The sequence below is a fragment of the Homo sapiens genome, chromosome 3 (assembly GCF_000001405.40).
Source record: "Homo sapiens chromosome 3, GRCh38.p14 Primary Assembly".
Lineage (NCBI taxonomy): Eukaryota > Metazoa > Chordata > Mammalia > Primates > Hominidae > Homo > Homo sapiens.
The window spans coordinates 196,548,327-196,568,589 of NC_000003.12; the positions used below are offsets into that span (position 1 = coordinate 196,548,327).

The 20,263-nt window shown below is 43.0% G+C and overlaps 1 protein-coding gene across 15 annotated transcripts, besides 2 other annotated features; it reads right to left on the reverse strand.

Moving 5' to 3' along the window:
• Positions 1-5,850: 5,850 nt before the first annotated feature.
• On the reverse strand, positions 5,851-20,228 carry WDR53 (WD repeat domain 53). 15 transcript variants are annotated; one of them, NM_001345908.2, is made up of 4 exons: positions 20,193-20,228; positions 18,564-18,981; positions 12,670-13,165; positions 5,851-6,481 (listed from the first exon to the last, which is right to left on the reverse strand). In NM_001345908.2, the coding sequence occupies exons 3-4, from the start codon at positions 13,147-13,149 to the stop codon at positions 5,885-5,887; spliced, it is 1,077 nt and encodes a 358-aa protein (NP_001332837.1). In that variant the 5' UTR covers positions 13,150-13,165; positions 18,564-18,981; positions 20,193-20,228; the 3' UTR covers positions 5,851-5,884. The 15 variants fall into 15 exon arrangements, with proteins under 15 accessions (NP_001332837.1, NP_872433.1, NP_001332838.1 ...); NM_182627.3 differs by having other exon boundaries at positions 18,551-18,981; NM_001345909.2 differs by having other exon boundaries at positions 20,113-20,228.
• Positions 14,800-15,999: an enhancer, noted in NCBI's record as "MED14-independent group 3 enhancer chr3:196289997-196291196 (GRCh37/hg19 assembly coordinates)". NCBI's record gives its function as "activates an origin of replication core promoter dependent on BRD2, BRD4, P300/CBP and CDK7 cofactors, and independent of MED14, by STARR-seq in HCT116 cells {active_cell/tissue: HCT116}" and the evidence as "EXISTENCE:reporter gene assay evidence [ECO:0000049][PMID:35650434]".
• Positions 18,370-19,569: an enhancer, noted in NCBI's record as "BRD4-independent group 4 enhancer chr3:196293567-196294766 (GRCh37/hg19 assembly coordinates)". NCBI's record gives its function as "activates an origin of replication core promoter dependent on BRD2, P300/CBP, MED14 and CDK7 cofactors, and independent of BRD4, by STARR-seq in HCT116 cells {active_cell/tissue: HCT116}" and the evidence as "EXISTENCE:reporter gene assay evidence [ECO:0000049][PMID:35650434]".

The window sequence follows — 20,263 nt, forward strand, 5'->3', positions numbered from 1 at the left end:
AAGATACCTGAAAATGTGGAAGCGACTTTGGAACTGGGTAACAGGCAGAGGTTGGAACAGTTTGGGGAGCTCAGAAGAAGACAGGAAAATGTGGAAAAGTTTGGAATTCCCTAGAGACTTGTTGAATGGCTTTGACCAACATGCTTATAATGATATGGACAATGAAATCGAGGCTGAAGTGGTTGCAGATGAAGATGAGGAACTCGTTGGGAACTGGAGTAAAGGTGACTCTTGCTATGTTTTAGCAAAGAGAATGGTGGCATTTTGCCCCTGCCTTAGAGCTCTGTGGAACTTTGAACTTGAGAGAGATGATTTAGGGTATCTGGCAGAAGAAATTTCTAAGCAGCAAAGCATTAAAGAGGTAATTTTGGTGCTGTTAAAAGCATTCAGGTTTTTTTTTTTTTTTTTGATATGGAGTCTTGCTCTGTCGCCCAGGCTGGAGTGCAGTGGTGCGATCTCAGCTCACTGCAAGCTCCACCTCCAGGGTTCATGCCATTCTCCTGCCTCAGCCTCCTGAGTAGCTGGGACTACAGGCGCCCACCACCATGCCCAGCTAATTTTGTTTTTGTATTTTTAGTAGAGACAGGGTTTCACCGTGTTAGCCAGGATGGTCTCCATCTCCTGATCTTGTGATCTGCCTGCCCCGGCCTCCCAAAGTGCTGGGTTTACAGGTATGAGCCACCACACCCAGCCAGCATTCAGTTTTAAAAGGGAAACAGAATAAAAATTTGGAAAATTTGCAGCCTGACAATGCAATAGAAAAGAAAATCCCATTTTCTGAGGAGAAATTCAAGCCAGCTGCAGAAACTTGCATAAGTTAAGAAGAAGCCAAATGTTAATCCACAAGACAATGGGGAAAATGTCTCCAGGGCATGTCAGAAGTCTTCATGGCAACCCTTCCCATCACAGGTCCTAAGGCCTAGGAGGAAAAAATGGTTTAGTGGGTCAGGCCCAGGGTCCCCCTGCTGTGTGCAGCCTAGGGACTTGGTGCCGTGTCACAGCCAATCCAGCCATGGCTAAAAGGGGCCAACATAGAGCTTGGGCTGTGGCTTCAGAGAGTGCAAGCCCAAAGCCTTGGCAGCTTCCACATAGTGTTGAGCCTGTGAGTGCACAGAAGTCAAGAACTGGGGTTTGGGAAACTCTGCCTAGATTTCAGAAGATGTATGGACACACCTGGATGTCCAGGCAGAAGTTTGCTGCAGGGGTGGGGCCCTCATGGAGAACCTCTGCTAGGGCAGTGTGGAAGGGAAATGTGGGGTAGGAGTCTCCACACAGAGTCCCTACAGGGGCACCTTCAGGTGGAGCTGTGAGAAGAGGGCCACCATCCTCCAGACCCCAAAATGGTAGCTTCACTGATAGCTTGCATCATTCACCTGGAAAAGCCACAGATACTCAACACCAGCCTGTGAAAGCAGCTGGGAGGCTGCACCCTGCAAAGCACACAGGGGCAGAGCTGCCCAAGACCATGGGAACCCACCTCTTGCACCAGTGTGACCTGGATGTGAGACAGAGAGTCAAAACAGATCACTCTGGAGTTTTAAGATTTGACTGCCCTGCTGGATTTTGGACTTGTATGGGGACTGTAGCCCCTTTGTTTTGGCCAATTTTTCCCATTTTGAACAGCTGTATTTACCCAATGCCTGTACCCCCATTGTATCTAGGAAGTAACTAACTTGCTTTTGATTTTACAGGCTTATAGAGGAAGGGACTTGCCTTGTCTCAGGTGAGACTTTGGACTGTGGATTTTTGAGTTAATGCTGAAATAAGACTTTGGGGGACTGTTGGGAAAGCATGATTGGGTTTGAAATGTGAGGACATGAGATTTGGGAGGGGCTGAGGGTGAAATGATATGGTTTGGCTGTGTCTTTACCCAAATTTCATCTTGAATTCCCACATGTTGTAGGAGGGACCCAGTGGGAGGTAATTAAATCATGGGGACAGGTCTTTCCCATGCTGTTTTCATGATAGTGAATTAAGTCTCACAAGATCTGATGGTTCTATAAGGGGGAGTTTCCCTGCACAAGCTCTCTCTCGGGTTGCCTGCCGCCATCCATGTAAGACATGACTTGCTCCTCCTTGCCTTGCACCATGATTGTAAGGCCTCCCTAACCACGTGGATCTGTAAGTCCATTAAACTTTTTTCCTGTATAAATTATCCAGACTCAGGTATGTCTTTATCAGCAGCATGAAAACAGACTAATACAAAGTGTCAAGGTACCTCACTTTCAAATAGTTCAGCAAACAAGACACACACACATACATACATACAAAACATATGTGCTGTGCATTACTGTTTTTCACTAATTCTTTCCTTGTAAATAGGAAAATTGTGGTCAAGGGAGAGCTGGTCATAGGCTGATGGCACCAGAACTACACGATTCTGCCAGAATGTGACTGATTAATCCTGAAAAGTATTTCTGCCCTTGGCAAGGAGTGGTTGGGTGGCCCTGTATCAGCCTCAAGTTTGTGCATCCAGGACCACAAACTGATTGTAATTTGGAGAGGGTACATGAAATGTGAAATAATTTGGTAGGCCAGGGTGGGCGGATCACCTGAGGTCAAGAGTTCAAGACCAGCCTGGCCAACATGGTGAAACCCCATCTCTATTAAAAATACAAAAATTGGCCAGGCGCAGTGGCTCATACCTGCAATCCCAACACTTTGGGAGTCCGAGGTGGGTGGATTACTTGAGGTCAGGAGTTCAAGACAAGCCTGGCCAACATGGTGAAACCCCATCTCTACTAAAAATACAAATTAGCTGGGCATGGTGGCGGGCACCTGTAATCCCAGCTACTCGGGAGGCTGAGGCACGAGAACTGCTTGAACCTGGGAGATGGAGGTTGCAGTGAGCCGAGATGGTGCCACTGCATTCCAGCCTGGGTGACAGAGTACAACTCCATCTTGAAAACAACAACAAAAAAAATTAGCCAGGTGTAGTGGCAAACCCATGTAATCCCAGCTATTCAAGAGGCTGAGGCACGAGAATTGCTTGAACCCAGGAGGCAGAGTTTGCAGTGAGCCAAGATCATGCCATTGCCCTCCAGCCTGGGTGACAGTAAGACTGTCTCAAAAAAAAAAAAAAAAAAGAAAAAAGAAATGTGAAATGAGCATGTTTAGGTGTCTGTGAGTTCAGCATTGGTTAGGAGAATGTGTAGCCCTGATAGCTGGCGTTAAAAATAATCTGAAGAGGCTGGGTGTGGAGGCTCATGCCTGTAATCCCATCCCTTTGAGAGGCCGAGGTGGGGATCACCTGAGGTCAGGAGTTTGAGACCAGCCTGGGCAACATGGCAAAACTGAGTCTCTACCAAAAATACAAAAATTAGCTGGGTGTGGTGGCAGGTGCCTGTAATCCCAGCTACTCAAAAGGCTGAGGCAGGAGAACTGTTTGAACCTGGGAGGTGTAGGTTGCAGTGAGCTGAGATCATACTACTGCACTCCAGCCTGGGTGACACAGCAAGACTTCATCTCAAAAAATAAAAATAAATAAATAAAAATAAATAAAATAAAAATAACTTGAAGAACAAGCAAAGGGTTGGGTCTAGTTGTCAGGCAATCCTGCCACCAGTTCCCTTCAGGCTTTTTTTTCTAACCACATTTTAACTTTCTGGATCTCCTTTGATTCATTTAATATCTTATGAGTACTGTTTGTGTTGGCTGGGAAGCCTAGGACAGGCCACACGATATGCTCTGAAGTGAAAGAGGGTAGTCTTTGCCTTCAAGCATCTTACACTCTAATAAAAATAGAAAAGCACGTAGTTATGCCTCGGTACTCATGGGTTCCACAGTCTGTGGAGTCAATCAACCGTGGCTCAAATGTCTTCGGGGAAGAAAAAACAACAGAACACAACTATACAACTATACAATGATAAAAAATAATACAAATAAAAAATACAGAATACTATTTATATAGCATTTCCATTGTATTAAGGATTATAAGTAATCGAGATGATTTAACGTTTATAGGAGGACGTACATAGGTTATTTGCAAAATATTATTTTAACATAATTCTTTAAGATTCATAAATTAATCGGATCTGCAAAGATCCTTCTGCCAAATGTTTATAAATTTACTTATAATTAAATATAAATATTAATAATTAATATTATCAATATTATTTAAGTTACATAGCAATCTCATAATATTCACAATATTTTAAATTAAATAATTAAAATTTATATTTAATGGTAATAAGTAATACAGGTTCCAGTGATTGGAACCTGTTATCTTTGGAGGATGTTTTTCAGCCTTCTACAGGTGGGGGACATTGAAAGCTTGCTTCCGAGGGGTGACCACTGAAGTTCCTATTTGTCACCTTGAGTGGCCATTTGACTATTAGAACTAAGTTATATTCAAAATGATGTCCTGGTTCTCTGTAAACTTAGGCTGGGGTGCTTCTTTTGCTTACCCTGCCAGCGTAGCCGCCTCAGCAGTATGCACCTGACTGTTCTTGGACTTCTCAGCTATGTGAGCCAATACATTCCTTTTTATTCTGTTAAGCCAATTTGAATTTGGTTTCTGTCACCTGCAACAGGAGTCCTGACTAAAACTGAATTTATGAAAAAGAGATCTCCACAAACAAGAATAATGGTAACCAATCAGATGATCTCTTCAAAGCTTTGAATATAGGCCAGGTACGGTGGCTCACACCTGTACTCCCAGCACTTTGGGAGGCTAAGACAGGAGGATTGCTTGAGGCCAGGAGTTTGAGACCAGTTTGGCCAACATAGCAAGGCTCCTCTCTATAAAAAAATTAAATTAAAATTTAAAAAACTCTAAATATAAGAGTAGGCAGTATGAGTGAAAGCTGAAAGAACATGCAGAGAAGACAGCAATCCAGGCCTCAATGAAAAGGAACATAACTCTTGACACCCTATCTAGGCCTCTATTCTCTTTTCTATCTTCTGCTTCGTCAGAATTTCTGCTTATTAATAACTGCAACTTATTCTCACTCCACCAGCATCATGGCCTGGATTGCTGCATAATACCCTAAACTGATTTGACCCTGGAACCCTTTTTGTTTTTTAGAAACACAGCAAAAGGTAATTGTCAGCAAAGCAATTTGGGCTTTACACAGAACAAGCAAGAACAGGTTTCCTCTTCCAACTTGGTAATGCTCCTCATGACATCCTGGGATCAGAAATAACTAATGTTATTTATTTATTTATTTAGAGACAGAGTCGCTCTGTCACCTAGGCTAGAGTGCAGTGGTGTGATCTTGGCTCACTGCAACCTCTACCTTCTGGGTTCAAGCGATTCTCCCGTCTCAGTCTCCTGAGTAGCTTGGATTACAGGCACGTGCCACTAGGCCCAGCCAATTTTTGTATTTTTAGTAGAGATGGGTTTTTGCCATGTTGGCCAGGCTGGTTTCTAACTCCTGACCTCAGATGATCTGCCCGCATCGGCCTCCCAAAGTGCTGGGATTACAGGCGTGAGTCACTGCGCCTGGACAGAAATAACTAATATGGTGACCAATTTGGACCAGGATGTGGGCTTCCCTACGGTAGGCAGCTTAACAAGGTCCTTTCCAGACAAGTCGTTGTGCCTGCAATTTTCCTGGATCTTTAAGTTACTTAACATTTCTAAGTCTTAATTCCTGTGGCACTAAAATGGGGGAAATCACTTCAATGATTCGGAACAAGAAATCAAATATACGTAAAATGGCTGGTACATGGTACACAATGAATATTCATTCTCTTCCTCCAAACTTTAACATATCACTTACTATATAAATATCCAATTGTCTTTTGTTCAAATATCTTAAAATTTGTACAGCAGAAGAGTATGATTTTACATATAACAAACAGCTTAAATAAAGAACCAGGAGCTTTTTTTTTTAATCTGAAAAACAGTTTTGCCACAATTCTTCAAATGTTTTTATTGGATTTAAAATTCATTTAAGGGGTATACAGATATACAACTAGTTTGATCAGCTACTAATATATTTTGGTGTCCCTTTATTTTTGTACCCAAGAGCCAGTTCACTTTTTCTCCATGTTCAATATTTAGCTTTGGTAAAATGTTGCCATGTTCTTCCTCATCTGTTACTGAAGCGTTAGTATTTCCACCCTGCTTGGTGCAAGTTCCTCTTTTAGGTTTCTTCCTGTGGGTACGTTTTGTGGGACTCTTCTGTTTTTTCTCAACTTCACTGTTTGCATCCCACAACGTGATCTTCCCATCATTCCCTCCAGTAAGCAGCAAATAGGATTCTGGGAGAAAGCAGACCTGGGATACCCCTGAAGTGTGGCCCTTAAATCCCAGTTCCTGTTCACACTTAACTCCCATCACCCGAAAGATTCGAACCTTACCATCTTCTGCACCACAACTAAAAATATTACCACACGAAGCCACAGAGATAGAATGGGCTAGGGCAGGGTTTAAGAGCTGACCAGGTGACTGTGGGCCTTCCATTTCTTCTGTTTCATCCTCCTGTAAATTTGTAATCCAGAGTGGTCGGGCTTTTTGAAGACTCCACAGCATCACCTTTACATAAGAAGAAATTACACAGTCATACAAAATGCTAGCCAATTTGCTCAACTATCATGCTTATTCAGCTTCTAATAAAATCGTTAAAGTAGTCTGAGAATGAGCAGTAGTGCACGTTCTCAGCAGTATTAAAAAATAATCAAATGCTGCCATAACATGCCAGTGGAATGCTACCCCGGGACTAAAACTAGAGTGCGGTTAGGTAGAATTAAACAAGATCCTGAATAATTTTTGATTAATAAACTCCATTAAAGTGTAATTGTTAAGCAGCTGCCAGTTTCTAAAGGTTTTTCTGCTCTCATCTCTTCAAGTAAAACCAAAGATTATCAAATTTGCTAGTTTTAGTCTATGCTGGTTATAGGTCAAAAGGCCTATCAACTAAATAAACTCGATCTGGACTATCATTGAAATGCTTTCCATCTGGAATGCCTTCCTTTCCTTTCACATTACCCAATTACCCATCCAAGGGGCTTAAGCTCAGTCCTGGTGCCTCCAAGAAGGCTTTCCTATTTCAGCCCGCTTCTCCTTCCTGTATCTAGTTTCTATTCTATTAATTGACATATTCTACTAGCTTATCAGTTTCTTGAGACTTACTTAGTCTTTGCTAATGCCTAGCATAATGGCTGAGAAAGAGGAGAAATTCCAAACATGTCTGTTGATTAATATGACATCCTGGTATTAATTTCATTTGGCTTTTCGTTGTTCCCGACCTGGTGCTTTTTGTTTTTTTTAAATAAGCTTTGTGAATGGGTTTTACATTATCATCTAGTGATTCATTCTTTTCCTGTATCAACCATTTTGCAAAGAAAAATACTCTTAATACTTTCAAAGCAAACAGACAGCTTTATCATGTAGTTTACCATCATCCCTGAATTATAACTCACAATTTTAACAGACACTGGAAGAAGCATGAGCTTGTTTAGACAGTGAAAAGCATAGATCTGAATTGGCAAGATTACTATTGCTAATGCTATTAAGAATTTGGTTTCCTATTCAAGGTAACTTCCCTTATGATTATTCTCAGTGGCCTATTTTCAAAAGCAGTGACATCTAGTAACACTTACATTCTGCTTCTCTTAGATGAAAATCTCTTTGAATTGGATTTATAACATTATACTATGTGACTAACAATCACTGTTTGGGTGAAGTTAAAGTACGAACAAATTGAAATAAGCTAAAGTAAAATAAATAAATATTAGAAAATATAACACGAAGGAGTGCTGAAACTTGATATGAAAATAGTTTTTTTTTTAAAAATAGGGTCTCACTTTGTCACCCAGGCTAGAGTGCAGTGGCATGACCATGGCTCACTGCAGCCTTGACCTCTTGGGTTCAAGTGATCCTTCCACCTCAGCCTCCCAAGTAGATGGGACTACAGGCGCATGCTACCACACCCAGCTAATTTTTGTATTTTTTTGTAGAGATGGGGTTTTTGCTATGTTGCCCAGGCTGGTCTCCAACTGCTGGGCTCAAGCGATCCACTCATCTCCACCTCCCAAAGTGATGGGATTACACGCATCAGCCACAATGCCCCAAAACAGTTTCTATTAAAAAATCTGAACACGGCTGGGCACGGTGGCTCACACCTCTAATCCCAGCACTTTGGGAGGCTGAGGTGGGCGGATCACGATGTCAGGAGATCGAGACCATCCTGGCTAACACAGTGAAACTGCATCTCTACTAAAAATACAAAAAATTAGCTAGGCATGGTGGTGGGCGCCTGTAGTCCCAGCTACTCGGGAGGCTGAGGCAGGAGAATGGCGTGAACCTGGGAGGCAGAGCTTGCAGTGAGCCGAGATCACACCATTGCACTCCAGCCTGGGCAACAGAGCAAGACTCCGTCTTTAAAAAAAAAAAAAAGAAAATACACACACACACACACAGAAAATGGACATTCTAGAATCTGCTAGCTTCACTGTATTGGCAGATAGACCCAGTTCTTTCTCATACAGCCCTTATGAATGGACTGTATTTTCTGTCCTCCAAAGACATTCAAACATGCACTGCACCCAGAGTGTTTCAGCAGCTGAAACACCTTTTGTATTTGACTTAAATCATCTAAATGTGTTAACAGCCATCCCAGATTCTACCAAGTCTAGAATCATTTCCACGTATTGAGGATTCCAGACTGTTCCTGTCTGGACATTCCCTTTATGCTTCTTGACTTTTCTAAAATGCTAAAGACTCCAAGGTGTTTCACACTTAATTTCTCAACCAGCTGTTCAAGCAGTTCTCATCCTAATCAAGAGAGCTAGAGATACTGAAAGAAAAGAATAAAGAGTTTGGGGCTTATGGTTCTGCAAAACATCGAAGGGAGAAAAAGTGGGGAACCAGCAAATGTTCAGAAGTGAATGTAATCATAACAAAGTGACCTTTCAAAACAAATTCCCCTTTTACAAAAACATTTCTTTCCACATAAAAGACTCGTCTTCAAGATAAAGAGCCTCTTCAGGCCAGGTGCAGTGGCTCATGCCTATAATCCCAGCACTTTGGGAGGCCATGGCAGGACTGCTTGAGCCCAGGAGTTCGAGACCAGCCTGGGGAACACAGGGAGCCAGCCCTCCTCTGCAGCAAAAATAAAAAAAATTAGCTGGGTGTGTCGGCTTGTGCCTGTAGTCCCAGCTATGCAGGAGGATGAGGTGGGAGGATCACCTGAGGGAGTGCGAGGCTGCGGTGAGCTCTAATTGTACCACTGCACTCCAGCCTGGATGACAAAGACCCTGTCTCAAAAACAAACAAACAAAAGAGCCTTCTCTACCATCCTGGTCTGTAAGTGTTGGGATTTTGGTTTTAAAAATCCAGAAAGAACAACAAACCTTTCAATCATTTGTTTTCAGATGCAGAAAGGGGCAGGGAAAGAAAATCAACATGTATGCTACAGAAATATGACAGTTTTAATTTTCTAAGTCTTTCAAGAAAAAAACTATAGTTGAATGGTAGGTATACAGGTATTTATTTAATTTTTTTTCTTTTCTTTTTTTTTTTTTGAGACAAGGTCTCACTGTCACCCAGGCTGGAGTGCAGTGGCACAATCTTGGCTCACTGCAACCTCAACCTCTCGGGATCAAGCAATTCTCCCGTCTCAGCCCCCCAAGTAGCTGGGACTACAGGTGCTCACTACACACCTGGCTACTTTTTGTATCTTTTGTAGAGATGGGGTTTCGCTATGTTGCCCAGGCTGGTCACAAACTCCTGAGCTCAAGCGATCCACCTGCCATGGCCTCCCAAAGTTCTGGGATTATAGGCATGAGCCACTGCGCCTGGCCTAATGTTATCCTTTACACCTCATATATATAAATATTACTTTGTACCTATTAAATAAAAAATTAAGCAGTCTCACGTGTCTTAAAGAACCACACTTTGCTTTTAGGGTCCCTGCCTCTTTGAATGCGCTTTGCCTATTTTATTTTTTTGAGACAGGGTCTCACTTTGTCATCCAGGCTGGAGTGCAGTGGCGAGATCATGGCTCACTACAACCTCCACCTCCCTGGGCTCAGGTGATCCTCCCACGTCAACTTCCTAAGTAGCTGGGACCACAGGTGGATGCTAGCACACCTGGCTAATTTTCGTATTTTCGGTAGAGATAGGGTTTTGCCATGTTGTCCAGGCTGGTCTCGAACTCCTGGGCTCAAGTGATCTGCCTGCCTTGGCCTCCCAAAGTGCTGGGATCCCAGGCATGAGCCCTCAGGCACATAAGCTACCACACCTGGCCCTGCCTAATTATTTAAACCTAAGTCAAAAGACATAACTTTATAATTACTGTTACATAAGAAAAAAGATAGGTATGCTGAACATGGCAATCATTCAATTCCTGCCTTGAGATAAAATTTGTTTGCTCAGAGAGAAGTAACTCAAAATAGTCAGAACTCCCTTCCACTATTACTGTGCCTACATTCTTGGGCTCCCCCATAGACTGGCTATCCTTAAAGTTTAGGATAATACTGGATCAACAGGTTTTAGGAAGACAACTGTGGAAATAATTATAGAGTTTCAACTTCAGTTAAGGAAGTCATTTCTTAAAAGCATGGTTGTATGGCTGTTACATCACAACCCAGTGTAGAAACAAATCTACCATGAACCTTTAGCAATTTTACCAGGCAAATCAAAATAAGAAATTACCTGAGCCTCCCTTTTTCAAAATACTTGTTTCCAGGGCTGTTCACTAGCAAGTGCCTGCCACTAAAACGTCTTACCTGGAACTGGGGGCAAGACAGTAAATTCTGAATGCCCATTCCTCATCTAATCTGAAAAGTACACATCACTTTTGCGTACCCAATTGTCTATTGCCATGCCTAGTGGTTAATGAACCACTGATGGAAAAGTGGTACAGCTGAAGGATGACAGAATGACTACTCAAAGACACACTGTACAATCTGCCTACTTAAAACATATCCATCTGGTTGTATAGGTCTTTCTTTACAACCACAAGGGCAGATTATCACCACTAGGGTGGAGAATGTAGGAGATTTATAAAGGGCTTGGTCAAAACCTAGGAGTGGAAAAGGAAGATAGAGGTTGTAGGGTCACTATGCCCCATACATGTAGAGTGAGTCTCAACCCAGGCACTACAGATGTTTTTGGGGAGACAATTCTTTATTGTTTGGAGACTATCCCAGCACTGCAGGACACCCACTGATTCTGCCTACTGAATACTGGTAGCTTGCAGGAGAGGGGAACAGCATGGTGACAACAAAAACAGTCTCATCATTCTTCAGTTATGAGGGGTATGCAGGGTTGGGGAGGGAAAGGTAAAGACCACTAGCCAAGAGGGTGGAAGTCATAACTGATGCTATTAAAAAGAACATGGAATCTTAGAAGATACTGTATGTAACTGAGAACAGAGATTAAATGCCTGAACAGTGCTGGACACATCGGTCATTCACAATGGTTCTCTCTCTAGAAGCCACCTGACCCCAAACCAAGAAACTTTTCTGTGACATTATTGATGATACTCTGCTTGAATACCTGTCATCTTAGAGAAAAAACATAGCCTTTGGAGCCAGAGAGATTGAGGTTTGAATCTCAGTCAGGTGGCAATGTAGATACTTCATGTGAATTTCAGTTTCTTTATTTATTAAAAAAAATAACTAGGAGGGTGTGATTAGAATTAAAACTAATATACACAAAGCATTGGCAAGAACTAAGTGCTCAACAGACAGAAATCATGACGACTCACTCCAGTGATGAGATTTACTCTCTCAAGAGGAAGCACATCCTGCCATGGGAACGTTCAAGCTATTTGAAAACGTTTACATTAAGCCCAAATCTGCTTTCCCATGACTTCTCTTATGAAGACCAGCACATTCCATTTTTTCCCCTCATGAAAACTAAGAATTAAACACCTCCAGTTCTCTACATAATGGGTTTCTAGATACATCTACTCTCCTGATGGACTTCCTCTGTATTTGGGCAATTTGTGATGCTCCTTTCTTTTTTCTTTTTTTTTTTTTGAGACAGAGTCTCACTCTGTTGCCTAGGCAGGAGTGCAGTGGCATGATCTCGGCTCACTGCAACCTCCACCTCCTGGGTCAAGCGATTCTGCTGCCTCAGCCTCCCAAGTAGCTGGGATTGCAGGAGCCCACCACCACGCCTGGCTAATTTTTGTATTTCTAGTAGAGACAGGGTTTCACCACGTTGGCCAGGCTGGTCTTGATGACCTCAAGTGATCTGCCCACCTCGGCCTTCCAAAGTGCTGGGATTACAGGCGTGAGCCACCGTGCCCAGCCGTGATGCTCCTTTCAAAACTCAGCATTGAATACAGTGCTCTGATCCTGATCACCAATACACACTATTTCAGTTAATGTACCCCAGAACTTTAAAGTAAAAACAGACCCCTCTAACTTTTTGTTTAAACAGAGTTTACAGAGAGTGGGTGGACCAACTCTGCCTTTAGTACTCACTGTTTGTTTAAACAGATGTTTACAATCAAATATTTGCATTTTCAGGTTTTAGGAGTATCTTACAGTATAGAGAAAGGAAAAGTAAAGGATTAATGATTACTTTGTGAATAAATTCTATTAGGTTTTATCAGACTAGCATTAAATGTAGAAATAAGGCTTATTGTTCATAAATGGATATGTTAGTAGAAAACAGAAAAAGCAAAGATATTTCGTGTGATCAATAATTTGATCCTGTTAGCAAATCCCACTTAGAAATTCCCCAAGTACTCTGTGCAAAAGCATCACCTGCATATCCAGTCCACATGACACCAGGCTCTGAGGCCTCTGAGGCCGAAAAGCCACTGAGGAGCAGATATTGGAATGTCTCTTCAAGGATCTGATAACTTTCTTGTTTTCCAAGTCTAGGATTTTGATTGCCCCAGAGTCGTCAGCAGAAGCCAGCAGGTTTTCCGTTTGATTCAATGAAAGACAATTGATTTCTTCTTCATTCACATGAAAATGGTCCAAGGAATCTTTGAGGGACCTGACATCCAGTACACTAATGGTTTCTCCATGTGAGGCATAGAGCTTGGTGGGACAGGAGGGAGAAAATAAGACACTGGTAACATCATCAGCCCCTTGGAACCGCGTGTGTCCTAATGGAGTTCCATCTTCACCCCAAGCCGTGAGATCTCCGCCCTCTGCTCCAGAAGCCAGCAGCCCTTCTTTACTTGCATTCAGGCAGAGGACAGGAGAAGAATGCCCACCCGTCCACTTGACTGCCATAATGGTCCCGGAGACTCTGTGAAGTGGGGGAAACAACTGTAATCTCATGTTTTATACATCGACTTGATGGGAGGAGACAGATGTAATAAACAATATTTCATCTTTTAAAATGTTTTAAAAATACATCTTAAAAAAACTCAATTAATTAAAAAAAAAAAAGACACTTAAAGATCACATCTCCAAAAGCCTAGCTGAACACAGGGTTGTATCCTGGCTGGCAAATACTTCAGTGGGCTTCCTTTGCCATCAGGGATCTAGGTAAGGCCAGTCCTCCAGTCTTTCATATGGAACCCACAGAAGAATAAACACTACATATTTTAAATTAAGAAAAATTATTTTAAAGAGAGGGCTGCAAAATCATCAGGTTATGCCTCTTATCTGAATAATGTTTTAGATGGTGAGCTCTGCAGCTAGGCTCTCCAGGTTTGCAGTAGCTAGGGGACTGGGCAAATTACTGAACCTGTCACCCACTTTTCTTCTCTATAAAATGAGGATAATAATGACACTCATTTCATAGGATCATAATATATGTAAATCACACATAATAGTGCCTGATACATAATGAATCCTCAACAAGCATTGCTATTGTTACTTTTTCGATTTTTATTAGGCCGGTGCAAAGCGGCATTACATACACTGCACCAGTACTCTCAAAGTGTGGTCTCCACACTAGCAGCATCAGCATCCCCTAGGAACTTGTCAGAAATGCAAATTGTCAGACCCAACCCTAGATCTACTGAATCTGAAAATGGGGGTGAGACCAAGCAGTGTGTTTTTGTTGTTGTTGTTTTGTTTTGTTTTCTGAGATGGAGTCTCGCTGCCGTTAGCCCGGGCTGGACTGCAATGGATGATCTCGGCTCACTGCAACCTCCGCCTCCCGGGTTCCAGCAATTTTCCTGCCTCAGCCTCCCGAGTAGCTGAGATAACAGGCACCCGGCACCATGCCTGGCTAATTTTTGTATTTTTAGTAGAGACGGGGTTTCACCATGTTGGCCAGGCTGGTCTCAAACTCCTGACCTCAGGTGATCCACCCACCTTGGCCTCCCAAAGTGCTGGGATTATAAGCGTGAGCCACCACGCCCGGCTGCAATGTGTTTTAGTAAGTCCTCCAGGTGATCCTGATGTACAGTGGAATTGCAGAATCTGTATTAAACTAATGACCACCTGGGGAAATGGTGAAAATGGCAGGCCCTTGGTCTCCCCACCAGACACTTATTCAGTAGGTTATCTAATTTTATCTCAAAACAACCCTTTTGATTGGTATTATTCCATTTTAGGGATAATAAAACCGAGTCTCAGAAATGTTAAATAATTTTCCCAAGGTCACTTGACTCTTAGGATTTGTAACAGATCCCAAATGTTTTGTTTTTGTTTTGAGACAGGGTTTTGCTCTGTCACCCAGGCTGCAGTGCAGTGGCACAATCGTGGCTCACTGCAGCCTTGACCTCCCAGGCCTAAGCAATCCTCCCACCTCAGTCTCCTGAGTAGCTCAGACCACTTATGTGCACCACCATGCCTGGCTAATTTTTATTTTATTAAATTTTTTTTTGCAAAGTCGGGGTCTCCCTATGTTGCCCAGGCTCCAAATATTTAAATAATGAAGGTCCTTTTCTAACAACTCCACCTGACAACAGTTTTGTTATTATTCTTTGAAGAAACAGAAAATGACCAAAAGTTACTAGTAAGTCATCAGTGCTTGAAAATGTACTCACATATGTTTAATCATATTATCATCTACCTGCACTTACACAACAGTGTAAAATTTAGATTTCTCATCCTCTAGGAATCCCAGATATACACACACTGGAAATGCCACATAATACCGGCCTGCCGTGCCCGCCTGCTGGTCAAGGCAAAAAGGAAATCAGGGCAATTTATACAACTCTAATCTTGGTCAAGACAAAAGGAAGCAAATAAATCTACCTGGACAAATTTAATTTTTCATTTCATAAGCGAAAGGAGAGCTTACCCGAGTGCCAGCCCCCAGAGCTGTTGTGCTATTTTCAGATAAGATACTTGAATTTAGCCCAGTGGTACAGAGATAAAATCATTTAAAATAATCTGGCAATCTGCCCAAAGTTTCCATTCCCAACACAAAGCTTTTTTTTTTTTTTGAGACGGAGTCTTGCTCTGTCGCCCAGGTTGGAGTGCAATGGCACAATCTCAGCTCTCTGCAACCTCTGCCTCCTATGTTTAAGCGATTCTCCTGCCTCAGCCTCCCAAGTAGCTGAGATTATAGACGCCTGCCACCACGCCAGGCTAACTTTTCCATTTTTAGTAGAGACAGGGTTTCACCATGTTGGCCAGGCTGGTCTTGAACTTCTGACCTTACATGATCCACCCACTTCAGCCTCCCAAAGTGCTGGGATTATAGGCGTGCGTCACCGCACCCAGCCTCCCCCTACTTTTAGTCACACATACGATCACTAATTAGACTGCAAAAAAATCACTGATCTATTAGTAATCAAGGTAACGGAAACGTGATCACAAAATCAAATACAGAAATGTTCATAAAAATAACAAAATAAAAAACAAAATTAAACTTTTGTTTTCAAGCAGAAGCACTCAACTAATATACAGAGGAAACTAACTGGAGACTGAAGCAATAATATTTAAAGGAGAGAATTGGAGAGGAAATGACTCAGAGGGAGGTAAAAACAGGGAGCCCTGGTGGTTTGATTTTTGCTGACAAGTACTGAAACAGCAGCAGGTAAATATGCCGTAACGAAGACTGTTGCCAAAAGTTCCAGATAAACCTAGATTTTAAACGAAAGGCACTGATAGTATTTAGGCTTAGGAACTGTAATACTGACTTACCTCATGATAAAGATGCTATCCTACAAATTTGAATTGAGTATTGAAAAGTCAATTTAAGTTACAAATAATTTTGTTTAACGATTTCAATTTTTTTTCTTTTTTCTTTTTTTTTTTTTTTTGAGACAGGGTCTTGCTCTGTCATGCAGGCCTTGACCTCCCCAGGCTCAAGTGATCCTCCCGCCTTAGCCTCCTGAGTAGCTGGAACTACAGGCTCTCACCACCAAACCCACCTAATTTTTTGTATTTTTTTTGTAGAGATGAGGTTTCCCCACATTCCCCAGGCTGTTCTTGAACTCCTGGGCTCAAGTGATCCTCCCGTCTCAGCCTCTCAAAGTGCTGGCATCACAGGCATGAGCCACTGCACCCAGCCAATGCTTTCAAATCTTTAGAATGTCGATCACTTTTTTGCCAAGTTATAGTTTTAATTTTGCTATGATGAATCAACTTTGAAGTCAGGAAGTCTGTACTCTAGAGCATTAAGATTTGCTGATATTTGTGTGCATACAGGTTTTGGATCCCAGCTGGGATTTTAGGTTTTCTCTGAAACAAGAATGAGGCAAGGTTTCTAGTGCTCCTGTTTCTCCATTACAAATCTACCCACAGGAGAGCCAAATAAATGCTGACTGACAGACAAAAGTTTTAGCAGGTTTTCTTCCTAATTTAATTCTTTTCTAGAAAAGATTAACTCAATCTTCAAGGTTCATTCAGTTAAGTTTTGCTCCGAAGTGTGAGAAGACAGGCAATAAACGAATTTTGTCCTTAAAGGGATTATTATAAAGACTACAGTTCCTATAAATTTTTCCACAGTGGAACCAGTAGTAACTCTTGTTCTATTAGTCTCACAAGACCCCAAGAACACTTTCATCTTATTAAACTCTACACACTAAACTCCTACTCTCTAAATCACATAGATAATATTTACTGATCATTTATCTAGTCAGAAAAATAAATAACTGTTACTGGGAATGTTAAAAAAAAAAAAAAGGCAGGGGCCAGGGGAGGCTGGGCGTGGTGGCTCACGCCTGCAATCCTAGCACTTTGGGAGGCTGAGGAGGGCGGATCACTTGAGGTCAGGAGTTCAAGACCACCCTGGCCAAGATGGAGAAACCCTGTCTCTACTAAAAATACAAAAATTAGCAGGGTGTGGTGGTACGTGCCTGTAATCCCAGCTACTCGGGAGGCTGAGGGCTTGAACCTGGGAGGTGGAGGTTGCAGTGGTGAACTGAGATTGTGCCACTGCACTCCAGCCTGGGTGAGAGTCGGGGTGAGGGGGCAGGGGGGAGTTTGGAAAGCCCCAGAAACAGAAATCCATAAACTCTGAGGCTATTAATTTTAGTCAATCAAGATTTATTATGCAAACTATTGATCAGCGATTCAACTAGAGCCTCCAAAATTGTTTACTTAGTCTATAAAACTAAAATGATTTGTTATTATTTGAAACACACCAAAGAACACTATGAAAAAGTTAATCAGATTGCTGTGATAGAAGGGTAGTGGGAAAAAATGTAATTAAAGTTGGGTTAAATCAAAACAATTTTTCAGAAATGAGTTGGCAAGCCACTGTTTCTTGCTTTTCTATGACTGCAACTGGAAAGCCTGGCAGAAAGAGGTGAAGTGTCACCATCCCCACATTCACGTATCAAGTCAACAAGCTTCTCTTTTCCTATGGAGTTGCCTAAAGCGTTAAGCACAGCAGTTAATCATATCCTACTGTAAATTACTTTAATTAGATAATAGATCACTTCCTTCTAATACCTAAAGAAATCACACAGAGTGGGTGAGGGAAAGGTGAGTTTTTTCTTGTGTTTTTTTTTTGAGACAGTATCTCCCTCTGTTACCCATACTGGAGTGTAGTGGCCCAATCTCTGCTCACTGCAACTTCCACCTTCGGGGCTCAAGTAATCCTCCCACCTCAGTCTCCCAAGTAGCTGGGATTACAGGCATGCACCACCACGCCCAGCTAATTATCTTATTTTTTGTAGAGACAGGATTTCACCATGTTGCCCAAGCTGGTCTAACTCCTGAGCTCAAGCAATCCACCCACCTCGGCCTCCCAAAGTGCTGGGATTACAGGCATGAGCCACTGTGCCCTGCCAGGTGAGTTATTTTGAGAGCATTTTTTTCTTTTTTTTTTTTTTGAGACAGAGTTTCGCTCTCGTCGCCCAGGCTGGAGTGCAATGGTGCAATCTCGGCTCACTGCAACCTCCGTCTCCCAGGTTCAAGCGATTCTTGTGCCTCAGCCTCCTGAGTAGCTGGAACTACAGGCATGCACCACCACGCCCGGTTAATTTTTGTATGTTTGGTAGAGATGGGGTTTCACCATGTTGGCCAGGCTGGTCTCAAACTCCTGACTGCAGGTGATCCGCCCGCTTCGGCCTCCCAAAGTGCTGGGATTCCAGGCGTGAGCCACGGCACCCGGCCGAGAGCATTTTTTAAAAGGGTGAAGTGCCACAGCCGGCAGTTCTCATCAGCCAGAGCGCAGAATGAGAGTACTGAACATGGGGAAGGGGCTTGGTGGGGTGGGTGATGAGCAGGTGAAAGATTTGTAAAAAAGAAAAGGAGGGGTTGAGAAGGGTAATCTTACTTTGAAATTCTACCTGGGGCGCTCAGGAGACGGTCTGCCGTTGAAAGTCACCTCAGCGGCTGGACTAGATTAGTAAGAATGACAACATCGCATCCTTCAAAGGCTCTGCCTCGGCTGCACTGAGACACGATAAAGGCCAGTCTTTAAAAACTGAGTGATCTCTAAACACTCTGCACTAGTCATACCACCACCGTCCCGTTCAAGAGTCTGTGCCTCTAAGGCTGTTCATTCTGTCTAGTTCATGATCCCTTTCTCAGATGGATCAACTCTGCTTATCCTTGAAGACTTCAAAGAAATTAGTGAGAGACAGTCACCATCACCAGAGTCAGCACAGGTCAACTTTTCTCTACAGGCTTGGGGTTTCTGAAGTTGGACTTGATGTGGAGAAGCTGGATAGCAACCAAAATGATTGAAGGGCTGTGGCGCTGGCACTGGTAAGAATGAAAAGAATTAGGGTTACTGGACTTGGTGAAAAAGACATGAGGAGAAGGGACAGGCAAATAATAATCAAACACCATGAATCAGAGGGTAGGGAAGGTAGCCACCGTTCCTTTGCTTTTACTAGAGACTAAGAAATGGATTATACATAGCAAGAAGCTTCAGAAAAGATTTCTTACTACATAAAGGTTCCAAGACATTGGAGTTGACCAAGGGAGTCTGTGAACCCTATTATTTTAATTACTCAGCTCATGGAGTTGTTTTGAGGATTACGTATATAAAAATCTGCGTAAATGACGTAGTATACAGTGCCTGGTTCACACCGTGGCTCAAATGATGGTTATTATTATTCTCTTACTAAGCATGCTTTAAAGGCTGTCGGAAAACTTTGGGGCCACCTAGGAAATCGTAGTATAATCAAATAATGCTGAAATTCTTGTGTGTGTGTGTGTGTGTGTGTGTGTGTGTGTGTGAGGTAGGGGCTCACTCTGTCGCCCAGGCTGGAGCACAGCAGGGCGATTACGGTTCACCTCAGCCTCGACCTCCCGGGCTCAGCCTCCCAAGTAGCTGGGACCAGAGGCGCACGCCACCACCCTCGGCTAATTTTTCTATTTTTTTGTAGCGACACTGCCTCGCAATGTTGCCCAAGCTGGGATGCTGAAATTCTTCCCCTTCCAAGAATCCATCTATAATTATAGCCTCCACGTCATTCTCCCTATTGGAATGTTTAATTGACTAAAACTACATTGCCTTCATCTGCTTACTAAGCGGTGGATCCAGTAAAGACCACATCTTGTCCAAAAGACGGCAGCACTTAATTAGCGCTCAAATGGCACTCGAACGTTTGGGCGAGGGGGTGTTCAGTCGCAGCCACCTTACTTTGCGAAGGCACACAGGGACAGACGTTCGCTAAGTGCCGATACTTAGGGAGAACGAGAGGGCCTGACCAGGTAAAGACGGCCTCCGCTGCCCAAGCTACACAAAAAGGTTGGGGAGCCAGGACCCGGCAAGCAAGGAGAGAAAAGTTTCATGCGTTGAGCTGGAGTCTGAAGCAAGGACCTAACGGACACAGGGAAACGTCACAGGAAAGGGAGCCCAGGAGAGCAGACGCGGAGCCACCAGACCAGAAAAAGGAAAAAGCACTGGAAAACAGCATCGAAGTCACCGGAAAGCAGCATCGAAGCCACCGGCGCCAGCCTCATACCTGCGCTTCCCGCTCCCCTCCTCGGCGCCTAGTGATAACCTCACCCGCCGGCGCCCAATCCCGTCGAGCGT